Genomic DNA, 13,326 nt, shown 5'->3' with positions numbered 1-13,326 from the left:
TTTGAGATACTATTATAAATTGTACTTTTTTCATTTCAATTTCCACTTCTTTGCTAGTAATATAGAAATACAATTTATTTTTCTATATTAACTCTGTGTCTTGTGACCTTTGAATATTTTACATAGATGATCATGTCTTAGAATAAAAATGACTTCGCTTCCTTCTTTCTCATCTGTATGCCTTTTATTTATGTTTTTCTTGCTTTATTGTACCAGCTAGTATAACAAGTACAAAGGCAAGTAGAAGTGGTCAGAGGAGGAATCCTTGCCTTGTCTTTAGGATCAGTGATGTCTTCTTTTTCATTCCTGATCTTGGTAATTTATGTCGTCTTCTCTCTCTCTCTTTTTTTGCTTATCAGTCTGGCTAGAGGTTTATTAATTTTATTGATCTTTTTAAAGAACCAGCTTTTGGTTTCATTGATTGTTTTCCAATTGTTTTTTGTTTTGCTTTGTTTTGTCCATTGATTTCTGATCTGTAGTGCATTTTCTTTCTTCTCCTTTTTTGGGGTTCAATTTGTTCTTTTTCTAATTCTTAAGGTGGCACTTAGACCACTGATTCAAGACCTTTCTTTTCTTCTAATATAAATATCTAATGCTAAAAGGTTCCCTATAGGCATCATTAGCTGCTTCTCACATATGTTTATATGTTGTGTTTTCATTTTCATTCAGTTCAAGCTATTTTCTAATTTCCTGTGTGATTTCTTCGACCTATGGTTATTGGAATTGTGTCATTTTGGCCAGGCACAGTTGCTCACACCTGTAATCCCAGCACTTTGGGAGGCCGAGGCGGGAGGATCACTTGAGCCCAGGAGCTCGAGACCAGCCTGGGCAAAATAGGGAGACCCTGTCTCTGCAGAAAAGCAAACAAACAAAACAACAACAACAACAATAACAACAAAAAACGTGGACATGGTGGCACACATTTGTGGTCCTAGCTATTCAGGAGACTGAGATAGAAGGATTTCTTGAGCCTGGGAGGTTGAGGGTGTAGGGAGCTGTGATCGTGCTACTGCACTCCAGCCTAGGTTACAAAGTGAGACCCTGTCTCCAAAAAAAGAAAAATTAAAAGTATGTCACTTAATTTTTAAGTTTAAACATTTGAGATATCCCAAATATCTTGTTGACTTCTAACTTAATTTTATGGTGCCTAGATAAAATTACTTTCTTTTATTCTAATCCTTTAAAATGCATTGAGATTTGTTTTAAGACCTAGCGTATGTCTGTCCTGTAGAGTGTTCCATATATGTTTGACCAAAAAAATGTGTATTCGGCCTTTGCTAGTGACATGTTCTCTATATGTTGGTTAGGTCAAGTTGATTGATAATGTTGTTCAAGCCCTCTATATACTTACTGATTTTCTAATTGTTTTATAAATTGATACTCCAAGAGAGGAGTATCAAAACACCAACTATAATCGTTCAACTGAATTGTTTATTTCTACATTCTCTACTGTCAGTTTTTACTTTCTGTGTTTTAGGGCTCTTTGCTAGGTGCATTTAGATTTATTTTTGTTTATCTTCCTGATTTTGCCCCCATGGGGACATTTGGAAAAGTCTGGAGACATTTTTGGTTGTCGCAAATGGGGAAATGCTGCCGGCACCTAGTAGCTAGAAGCCAGAGATACTGCTTAACATTCTGCAATGCCTGGACAGTCTCTGAAACAAAGAGTTATTCAGCTCACAATGTAGGGACTGAGGTCAAGAAACCAAATTTCTTTTAATACTTAATACCTAAATCTCTAGCAATTTTTAAAGAGTAAATGCTTCTCAGTTTTTGGTCTACCTTTGGTTCATTTTCAGATGCCTGAAATGTTTATTTTTGTCAGTTTTTTCCAGTTTTATATTTACTTTTGAAGAGGAGGATTTGCAGATCTCTTCATAACACCACAAAATGGAAGTCTGTCCATCCTTTAACATTTAACCTGTTGATGTCTTTATATTTAAAGTAAGTTTTTTGTAGATAGCATTCAGTTGGATTTTTTTTTTAAATGCAATCTGACAATGTCTGCCTTCTAATTGGGAATATTTAGACCATTCACATTTAATGTAATTATTGATAGAGTTAAGATTAAATCTATCTTGTTTTTTTGTTTTCTGTATTTTTCTTTTCTTATCCTTTTTTGTGGATTATTTTTTGTGACTCCATTTTATCTTCACTATTGGCTTATTAGCTACACCTCTTTATTTGATTTTAGCAACTGTTGTTTAAATATATGGCTTTAACTCATCATAGTCACAGTATACCTTTAAATAATATACCACTTCATGTATATTACCTCACTTGTGTGTGTGTGTGTGTGTGTGTGTGTGTGTGCACCTAACAACAGTATGCTTCCATTTCCTTCCTCCTGTCCCTTGTGCTGCTGTTGTGGTACCTTTTTTCTTATACAAAAGTTATAAACCTACAATATGTTGCTATTGTTTTTGCTTTAAAGAGTTCATCATCTTTTAAAGAGATTGAGAATTAGAAAACATCTTTATTTACCACTTGTTTACCATTTCTGCTGCTTTGTGTAGATCCAGTTTTCTATTAGATATTATTTTCCATCTGCCTGAAGAGCTTCTTGAACATTTCTTGTCATGTAACCTTGCTGCTGATGATTTATCTCAGATTTTGTCTGAAAAAGTCTTTACTTCTTCCCTCACTTTAGAAAAATATTTTTATTAGCTTTAGAATTCTAGGTTGATGGTTTTTCTTTCAGTACTTTAAGAACTGGGTGAGATAATGGAGTGACTTTTTTTAAGACAGGGTCTCCCTCTGTCACCCAGGCTGGAGGGCATTAGCACCATCATGGCTTACTACAACCTTGAACTCCTGGGCTCAAGCCGTCCTCCTGCCTCGTGTCCCTCCCAAAGTGCTAGGATTATAGGTGTGAGCCAGAGCACCTGGCCAAGTGACTTCTTTAAACTCTTCAAGTCCCTGATTTTGTGCTAGGCTCCTTAAAGTTAAGATGTTAGATGTAACACCTGTCTTCTCAAGTTAACTGTTTTGTTACCTTTTCTCAGTAACAAAGTCTGATATTGCTCTTGGGCTCACACCCATGTTTCCTGTCATTTTTTTTCCCTTGTCGGGTTACATATTGGCCTGTCAACTGCCTTTGACTCTGAGCCTAATATTACTTCCTCATGCTCCTGTGTTTCTCTATGCTCCTTACCAGCACACACATTCTCTTTTACGGTCTCCACCTGAGAGTAAGTTTGAGAGATTAGACCTCTCTGCTTCTTTCCTAGTGCTCTTTCCAGTGCTGTAAAGAGAACCTGGGCATTGGTCCAGACAGATTTGAGGTTGAATTCCAGCTTTCCATTTCCACCAGCTGTGTGCCCATAAGTAAATTATTTGAGTCTTAAGAGGCCATCTGTAAAATTTGAATAATAATATCTCTCAAAGTAGTTGGGAGGATTAAAGTAGGTAATATATGACAAGTTCTTACACCATATTTGTCTCATAATATCAAATACTCACATAGTATATATTATGATATATATCCCGATTTACAGATGAGGGACCTGAAGCATAGTAACCCACCCGAGTTACGTAACTAGGGAATGGCAGAGAACTAGGAGTGAAACCCAGTCTGGCTCCAGATCCCATGCCTCTAACTACAATGCTTCACTCCTTTTCTAGGTAAATGTTAATTCCTTCTTTTTGGATTAGATAGGGTTGGACTCTAACAAATGAGTACTCTTGACTGGGTGGATGTTGAGGGAATGGGGCAGTTAAAGGGTAGCAAGGCAAAGGATATTTCAAGTAGGAAAAATAGCTTTGGAGAAAAGGTAGAAATGGAAGGATATGGGAAACATGCTGGGGAAATGGCTAATAGGCTGATAAGTTTGGGTGGAGGTCCTGGGGGATAGAGAAGAATAGTGGGGGATAAAGTTCGTTATGTAGGGTCTAAATGATAGAGTACTTTGAATGCCATGCTAACAAAGTTGGTCTGTTTTATTCTACATAAAGTGACAAACCATTATGGGAGTGACATGGTCAGATGGGTTCTTTTGGAATAGCTCTTGGATCATTTGTGGATGGATTGAACTGAGGAGCAATTATAATAGATCAAGTAGGATGCTCTTGTTCAAATATAGGCCTGAGGTAATGAGCTCAACCAAAGGGATGGTTAGAGTGGAAAGGGGGAGCCATGGAGGTGTAATAGTTGGCAGGATTCAGTGGCTTGTTAGATGAAGGAGAAGGAGAAATCACAAAGGAGTCAGCTTTACTAGGCTTGGTGACAAGGAGGAAGGTGATGTTTTCATTGAGATAGGAAATTCTGAAAGGGGAGCAGCTTGGTGGAGGGAGATGTAAGAGTTCTGTTTCACATGAATAATTGGCCATTTGTAACACCTTATTCCCCTTTCTCATTTGTGGGAAGCAGTGAGATAGACCACCTAAGGGAAATTTTGTAGGACAGTCCTAAGGGAGGAGGAAAAGAAGAGAAGGGCTTAGGTAAAGACAGGTGGGATTCACAGACCAGAGGCATGTTCAAAGCAATTTCAGAGATGAAAATGGCATGGAGTTTTTGGGAGGTCCTGTGAGTAGACTGGATCGAAAGTTTGCTCCCACAAAACCCCTCAACCTCTCTTATCTATCCTTTTTCCCCAAGTCCTAGGTTGGCCAAGAAGCAGCCAATCCTGGCCGGGCGTGGTGGCTCACGCCTGTAATCCCAGCATTTTGGGAGGCCGAGGCGGGCGAATCAGGAGATCAGGAGTTCAAGACCAGCCTGACCAATATGGTGAAACTCCATCTCTGCTAAAAATACAAAAACTAGCTGGGTGTGGTGGTGTGTGCCTGTAATCCCAGCTACTCAGGAGGCCGAGGCAGGAGAATCGCTTGAACCTGGGAGGCAGGGGTTGCAGTGAGCCGAAATTGCACCACTGCACTCCAGCTCCAGCCTGGGCAACAGCCAGATTCTGTCTCAAAAAAAAAAAAAAAAAAAAAAAAAAAAAAGAAGCAGCCAATCCTTCAAGGAATGACAGAGGCTAAAGCCAGGTGCATATGGAGCTGAAGATTAAAGGGCCCTTCCTGGATCTTTTGGACTCCTCGGACCTCCTTATAACTGTAGAGGTTGTGGGGAGAGGCCCAATAATGACTGAGATTGAATCTGCTGCCACCTCAGTGGAAAGAGGACCCGGAGCAGATCACATTTTCTTTAGTTTTAATTTAATTTAATTATTTTTTTAGAGACGAGGTCTCAGTCTCACTCTGTCACCCCGGCCGGAGTGCAGTGGCATGATCATAACACTGCAGCCTCCAAATCCTGGGCTCAAGTGATCTTCCAGCCTCAACCTCCCAAGTAGCTGGGACTACAGTTGTGCACCACCATGCCCAGCTAATTTTAAAAATTCTTTTGTAAAAATGAGGTTCTACTTTGTTGCCCAGGCTGGTCTCAAACTCCTGGCTTCAAGTGATCCAACCCCCTTGGCCTCCAAAAATGCTGGAATTACAGGTGTTAGCCCCTATAGCCAGCAACATTTTATTTAAGAAAATAAAAGACTATGCCACTTCTTACTCCCCATCATATTCAAACTGTTACGCATATTTTGTTTAAAAGGTTGATTTATGCATTTGTTTCCCAGTAGACCATAAAGTCCAAAAGAACTGTATCTTAGGTTATAAAGGTGGGCCCAGTGCCTAGCATACAGCTTGGTTTTCTCATGAATTTGTTCATTCAATGTCTTTTACGAGTACAGTGAGAGGTCCTGTACTATGTGGTGAATATCCATTTACTCATCAAATATTTATTGAGCACTTACTGTGTGCCAGGGTCTGGGCCAAGTGCTGGGAACACAGATTTGAATAAGACTGGCTAGGTCTCTGCTCTCAAGGAGCTTACACCTTAAGTGGTGGAGTCAGAAAACAAAAATAAGATAACAAGAAGCCTTCAGGTAGTGATATATGCTGTAAAGACAATAGAAGAGAGTGATGTGATAGGGAGAGACTTGCAGGGTATCTTTGGATACAGTAGTTGGGGAAGGTATCACTGAGGAGGTGACCTTGATCTCAGGCCTGAGTGGTAGGGAGGAGTGGGTCATGAGGTGATCACGGGGGAGGCTGGGATGAAAGATGGCTTCGGTAAGCGGTAATAAATAAGGGGGAGAGAAATATGAGATGACGGTGGCTGGGCCAACAGGGGCCAGATCATGGGGAGACTACAGGAAAAAATTTGGATTTATTCTCTGTGTAATTGGAGGGCTTTAGCTGGTGAGATTGTGGGGTGCTACAATCATATTTTCTCTTTGCTATTGATCCTCTGGCTATTGTGTAAAAAATAAAAAATGTAGCAGGCCAAGCAAAGAGGAAGGGAGGCCAGATGAAGAGGCTGTTTGGATGGTCTACGTAGGACATGATGGAGGCTTGGACCAGGGGGCAGTGGAAGTGGAAAGGGGGAAGATTTGGGGTATATCTGGAAGGAGGTCAAATTGACTGGATGTGGAATGTGAGGAAAGAAATCTAGGGTGGCTCCTAAGTAGAATGACAAACCAACCCAGATTGCCTGAGACTGAGGGGTTTCCTGGGACATGGGATTTTCAGGGCTAAAACCAGGACAAGTCCCAGACAAACCAGGATAATTGGTCACATTACTTTTAGGTTTTTGGGCCAAACAATGGGGTGAGTAGCTGGTGCCATATACAGAGATAGAGACGACTCAGGGAGAACAGATTTCTAGAACAGAATTCTATTTTGGCCATGTTAAGTTTGAGATGCTGATTAAACATTCACACAGAGATGCAGTAGGCAAATGTATATACATATCTGAAGCCCAAGGAGGAGATTAGATTCAGATAGAAATCTGGGGGCCAGCAATATATAGATGGCATTGAAAACAATGGGGGAGATTACCTAGGGAGAGTATGTAAATAAAGTACAGAAAAGGGCCCAGGGTGGAGTTTGGATATGAAAATGTTGAGGCTAAACAGAGGAGGAGCAGTCATCCAAGGTATTAAAAAGGAACAGTCAGTGAAGTAGGAGGTAACCCAGGAGAACATGGTGTCATGGAAGCCTAGAGAAAAACGAGCTCCATGAAGGACAGAGTGGTCAACTATGTCTAATGCTGCTGAATAAAATGGAGAAAGAAAAGTAGATTAAAACACAGTCCCTGCTCCCAAGGAGTTTCAGTGTAGTGGGGTGATGGGAAAGTCAATTCCTATACAGCGATGAGTGCTCTAGCAGTGAGAAGCACAGGCTGCCCGGCAAGTACAGTGGGCTCCTTCCTGGGCTGCATTTGGAAGGAGAATTGGAAAACAGGATGTGGATGGAGAAGAGTTATTCAGGTCGAGGAAGCCACAGGCACAAAGGCACACTCAAGGAACTGTAGGGTTTCAGGATGGTCGGGGCACAGAGTAGTGAAACAAAAGGAGGCATGAAGTGCAGGGAGTGGGGACAGCCAGGGCTATCACATGAGACAGAGAGGTCACCTAGGATGGGAACTGAAAAGTGTTGGATTTAGCAGCTTGGACATAAGTGTCTATCTTTGCCAGAATAGTTTCTGCCATTTCAAGGAGTTATGGGGGACATAAGCCAGATTAGGAGTAACTGGGAAGCAGGGAGTAAGACACCCTGAGTGCACAGATCACTCATTTAAGAAACTTGAAGTGGAAGGAAGGAGTGTGGTAATGTGGCATCTGGGAGTGGGGTTGGGTTTTGTGAGTTGTTTTTTTTTTTTTCCTCTATGGTAGAAATCTTGAGCTTAGTTATAGGCTTGAGGGAAAGAACTAGAAGTGAGGGAGAGCTTGAAAATATAGAGGAGAGGAGATAATTGATGGAGTAAGAATTCTGAGAAGCTGGTGAGGGATGGGCATGTGTAGGGTTGGGAACATGTAAAGCTTAGCTTTGGATAGGAGGAAAGAGACAGATGGGTAGAAATATAGATAAGATTGTTAACAGTGGGCTTAGGAAGACTGAAGGGAAGGTGTTCTTTTCTGATTGCCTTTATTTTCTCTCAGAATAATGATGAGGTCTGCTGCTGAGAGCAGCTGTAGACCCAGCAAGAGGTATATGGAAGGCTAGAGAGTGAATTTACAGGGGTATCAACTTAATTCCTCCAGTGGCTGGATGTGATATTTTTCTGGGCAGGAGCAGAAAAGTGGACGGATTAATTCAGAGTGGCGTCTTGCAGTGTGGATGCAGCTGAGGACAAGTGGACAAGGATATTAGCAAGGATGAAGTGACAGGCTATGAGTTTGGACTGAAAAATGCAGGAAGTGGAATGAGGATTTGGTTGATAGATTAGGAGGAAATGTACTGAAGGAAGAAGGCAAGGAGCAGGTATAAAGAGAAGAAAGGAATCAGGGTATGAGAAGCACCAAAACTGTTTTCAGGAAGCAGGACATTAGAGTTTAAGTTTTCCAGGTTGGAGCAAATCTGAGTGGTGAGAAAGTCCAAGGTGAGGCCTTGGGTATGAGTAGGTTATTGGAGTGGAGGTGAATAGCCCTGGAGTTGAGGGTATCAAGGTATTGTAGGGTTAGGACACTGGATAGATAGTTCATTCACATTAGTGCTGAAATCACCCAGAATGAGAGGGAGATAGGGAAGAGAGAAGAAGCTGCTGAACCGGGAGCCAAGGTCCTTGATGAGTGGAGAGGACTGACCAGCAGGTTGGTGGGTGACAGAGACAAGAGAGGAAGAAGCTGATTGGCTGAAGGCAGAAACAGTTTTTACAGAGATGAAGGCATAATTGTGCCTTATAATTTTATTGAACTAAATTGAACCAAAGTGCTATGTTAGTCCCAGGAAATGCCAAAGTCTGCACCAGCTGCCATTTTCTAGAAAAACCCCAGGACACACATTAAAGTCAGCACTGAAAGAGCATTGCCTACCTAGAAAGAGCTCTCAAGTCAAGAAGAGACCCAGAGAAGAAATGTCAGCAGGTGGACTACAGACGGGGCCATTCCTCTGGGCTCCACCAGGCCCATATCTTGCCCTGACAATTTCAGTCCTCCCCTCTCCCTCTGGGGAACTGTCAGTGCCAGCTCTCTGCTCCATGACACATCCTGGCAGGAAAAGTCAGCCAGCCATCTTGGGCTGGCATCATTCCCAGGAGAAGCCAGAGCAGAGGCTTTGAGAGATGGAGCTGAAGGAAGCACATTTCAGCACACTTTTCTACGGAAGAGCAAGGGCTCATTAGCTAAAACGATCATCTTCCCAGGCCTGTTCTCAGACCAACTTAAAAATCACCTGGGCTGTCTCTCCACCCTTTCACCCAGGAGTACAAGTTGCTTCCTGCTCAGACAGAACCCACCCTAACCTCAGCCCTTCTGGAGCACAGGCACCACTCACACATTGCTTCTGCTTGTGAGTGATGTGAATACACACAAGGCACACTTCCAGGACGCCGCCGCCGCTTGTCCTCCTGTTTCATGGGCACTTGTTCTCCAGTCTCCTTTGCAGGTTCTTTCTTATTAACTTGACCTCTGACATTTGGAATGCCCCAGTTCTCAGCCCTTTATCTCTGTCTCCTCTCTCCCTACATTCATTTCCTTTGTGATCACAACCAGCCTCAGGGCTGTAATACGTTCTAATCACTGAAAAATACTAATGCATATCTCTACTCCTCAGTCTTCTATTAGGTTGGTGCAAATGTAATTGCGGTTTTTGCTATTGTTTTTAATGGCAAAAACCAAAATGACATTTGCACCAATCTAATAGTCTTATACATCCACTCACCTTGTTGGCATCTCTGCTTGGCTATCTCATAGGCATCTCCAACTTAACATGCTCAAAATTGAACTTTTGATTCCCCCAACTCCCTGCCACACCTGCTTTACCTGCAGCCTACCCTCATCTTAGTCTATCCTTCCAGCCACCCAGGCCAAATCCCTTGGAGTCATCCTGACTCCCCTTCCTCTAAGCCCAAATACAGTCTATCAGCAAATCCTGTCAGTTCTATCTCCAAAAGTTACCCAGAATCTTACTCTTTCTCACTGCTTCTCCCCTCTGACATCCTGAACCAAGCCATCTTCATGTCTTGCTTGGATTATTACAATAGCCTCCTAACTAGAATCTGCTTTGACCCTATTTCAAACAACAGCCAGAGCGATCCTCTAAATACATGAAGCCCTGAAGATCATGTCACTTCTGCACTCAAAACCAACCAACAATTTTCTGTCTCATTTTAGAATAAAAGCAAAACTCCTTACACTGGCTTGGAATGACCTGGCCTCCCTCTACCCTCCATCCTCATCTCCTCCTGTTCTCTTCTTCATTCACCTTGCTCCAGCCTTACTGGCCTCCTTGTCGCTTCTCACTTCAAGGGTGCTCCCACCCACAAGGTCTTTGTACTTACTATTTCCTCTGCCTAGAACATGCTTCCCCTGGTGTCCACACGATTTGCTGTCTCCTGTCCTTCAAGCCTTTGTGCAAATGTCATTCTTCTCACTGAGGCCCTTCCTCACTACCCTATGTAAAATATTCACAATATAAGACAGGAGCGCCCTCTGTGCTCCTTCTGTTCCCTTTACTCTCTCCATTTCTTTCTAGACTTATCTTCTGAGACCACATGCTTATTAAATGTGAACTCCTTGAGAGGAGGGACATTCTGTCCTTGCCCACAGAGGGTATCAATAAATATCTGTGGAACCAATGCAATTCAATATACCTGGTTTTGGGGAAACCTCAGAATTCTGCCATCCTCTGGATGCCAGCACTAGAATGGCAGTTTTTATAATGAAACCCTTCTCTTTCAAGTCCTTACAGAGGTATGACTTTAATTAAGCAACTAGTCTGTCTGGACCCTTGCATATTTACACAGCCATATCTCGAATGCCAGCAGAGATAGCTGTTGCCTTCCTTTCCTTTGCTTCCTAGTTCTTGGAAGAAAATCAACAGTGGCTAGTGACCTTGCCTGCAGGTGAGCATAACTATTAAACACCAGCCCTCAACGCAGATTGCTGTTGTGGCTATTCTTTTATAGAGCAAAGGAATCTGTTATAATCTTCTTGTAACTATGTGAGTCTCTTGGCCAAATATGTTTAAATGATGTAGCAAATGTCTCAATGTGAACTTTCTACTGGTCAGGTTTTCAGGAGATTTGAGTTTTGGTCTTAACTCTACTGTGGAATTGCCACAACTCTGGGTACTTTCCTGAATTCTCTAGTATCTTCGTTGGGAAAAATGTGTTTTTTTGGGGTAGATGATCACTAAGACCCTTTCTTGATCTAAAATTGTGGTTTTCTCAGAACAGAAGAGCTCCTATTTGTGAGTCACTAGAAACACACATGATTATCTCTTTGGCTTTCCCATTACACACAAAAAGCCTTTTTTTGTGTGTGACTTTTATATCGGTCAGGACTTTTTCATTTGTTAGGGGCAGAAACCCAGCTCAAACCAACTAGAAAGGAAGTAAGGGGTCTATTGGCACATATAGCTGGAAATATAGGGGTAGAGCCTCTCTGGCAAGCTGGATCCCAGGGCTCCCAGGATATATGGAGGACCCATTCTCTCGCCGTCTTCTGGCTTCACTTCCTCCTGTGTTGGTTTCACTTTCAGGCAGCCCCCGCATGACGACCCCAGCAACGGCAACACAACTCATGCCACCTTCAAATGCAAGAGGAAAAGGGCTTCTTCCCGAGAATTTTGGCATCTTTAAAAAACAGAGTCTTATTGGTCTTGTCTGAGTCTTGTGTCCTTTCCTGCACCAGGGGAATGGAGAGTTGTCAGATCTCTGGGCAGATCTGTGTCACAGCCCAACCCTCAATGGAGCTTGAGAGTAAAGGTGGGGCCAGCCCACACAGGCTGAGAGTGGCAGAGGGTAGATAGATGTCAAAAGGAAACCTGCAGCTATTAACAGAAGAAGGGAGAGTAGATGCTGGAGAGGTAAAAATAATGGACATTTATTTCAGTCCTCATTGAGGGTTTTTTTTTTTTTTTTTGAGACAGAGTCTCACTTTGTCACCCAGGCTGGAGTGCAGTGGCGCAATCTCGGCTCACTGCAACCTCCACTTCCTGGATTCAAGCTATTCTCGTGCCTCAGCCTCCCGAGTAGCTAGGATTACACGCGTGCACCACCAAATAATTTTTGTACTTTTAGTAGAGATGGGGTTTCACCATGTTGGTCAGGCTGGTCTTGAACTCCCAACCTCAAGTTATCCACCTGCCTCAGCCTCCCAAAGTGCTGGGATTACAGGTGTGAGCCACCACACCTGGCCCTCACTGAGTTGTGATTTTCTTGTAGGTACTGTATTAATTTCTCATGTCTGCTGTAACAAATTACTACAAATTGGGTGGTTTAAAACAATAGAAATTTATACTCTCACAGTTCAGGATGAAATCCAGGTATTGGCAGGGCTGCACTCTGGAAGCTCTAGGGGAAAATGTACTCTTTGCCTCTTCTAACTTTTGGTGATTGCCAACATTCCCTAACTTGGGGCCACATCACTCCAATCTCTGTTTTCATGGTCACATGACTTCCACCTCTTCTATTACATTTCTTATGTGTCTCTTACGAGGACATTTGTCATTCGATTTAGTGCTCACCCCAGTAATCCAGGATGATTTTCTCATCTTAAGATTCTTAATTGTATCTGCAAAGACCTTTTTCCAAATAAGGGAACATTAATAGATTCCAGGGATTTGATGCAGATAGCTTTTGAGGAGATGTTTTTCAGCCTACCACAGATATCAAACCAGAAATAGTAATGTTGAAGTGATTAAGACATCAGAATGTAATAGAGAATCAGAATAATTTATAAATATTACTGATATATTTTTTCCAAATGCTTGGTTGCCTTTTAAAGAGATGAAAGAGGCCAGGCGCACTTGCTCACTCCTGTAATCCCAGCATTTTGGGAGGCTGAGGTGGGATGCTGGCTTGAGTCCAGGAGTTCAAGGTCACAGTGAGCTCTGATTGTGCCACTGCACCACCTTAGCCTGGGTGACAAAATGAGATCCTGTTTTTAAGCAAATAAATAAATAAATAAACATTTTTAAAGGGATAAAAAAATTTGCTGTGGGGGGAAAAGCAATCAGACAGCTAAATTTCTGACTTAGTTGCCAGCCATGTATGATTTTCATTTTAATCTATCAACCCTCCTTCTCTCTTCTAGGTAATTGTTGAACCAATAGCTGCTTTTATTTGGGTTTTCTACTCTTTTTCTACATGTCTTTAGCTCTTTTGCTAAAATGTCGTTACTAGCAGTATCAATACTAATCATAACTAATCATAAACAAGAACTAGCATGCAAAAAGTCACTAGCGAGACTAGACCACAGTTAGGGAAATATTTTCGAACGTGATTTCTTATTTCAAATGAGTAATAAACATTTACAAATCTGAGCCACTGGCCTTTTCTCATCTAGGTAAATGTCCCCAGGAACCCCAGGCTACATTAGACATTAA

General features: G+C 42.1%; 1 annotated feature.

Moving 5' to 3' along the window:
• Positions 11,599-11,648: an enhancer, noted in NCBI's record as "active region_2360". NCBI's record gives its function as "activates an Ori minimal core promoter by ATAC-STARR-seq in GM12878 lymphoblastoid cells {active_cell/tissue: GM12878}" and the evidence as "EXISTENCE:reporter gene assay evidence [ECO:0000049][PMID:35858748]".

The sequence above is a fragment of the Homo sapiens genome, chromosome 1 (genome assembly GCF_000001405.40).
Source record: "Homo sapiens chromosome 1, GRCh38.p14 Primary Assembly".
NCBI classification, from domain to species: Eukaryota; Metazoa; Chordata; class Mammalia; order Primates; family Hominidae; genus Homo; species Homo sapiens.
The sequence above is the reverse complement of the archived record's forward strand: the minus strand, read 5'-3'. Positions and strand labels throughout refer to the sequence as shown.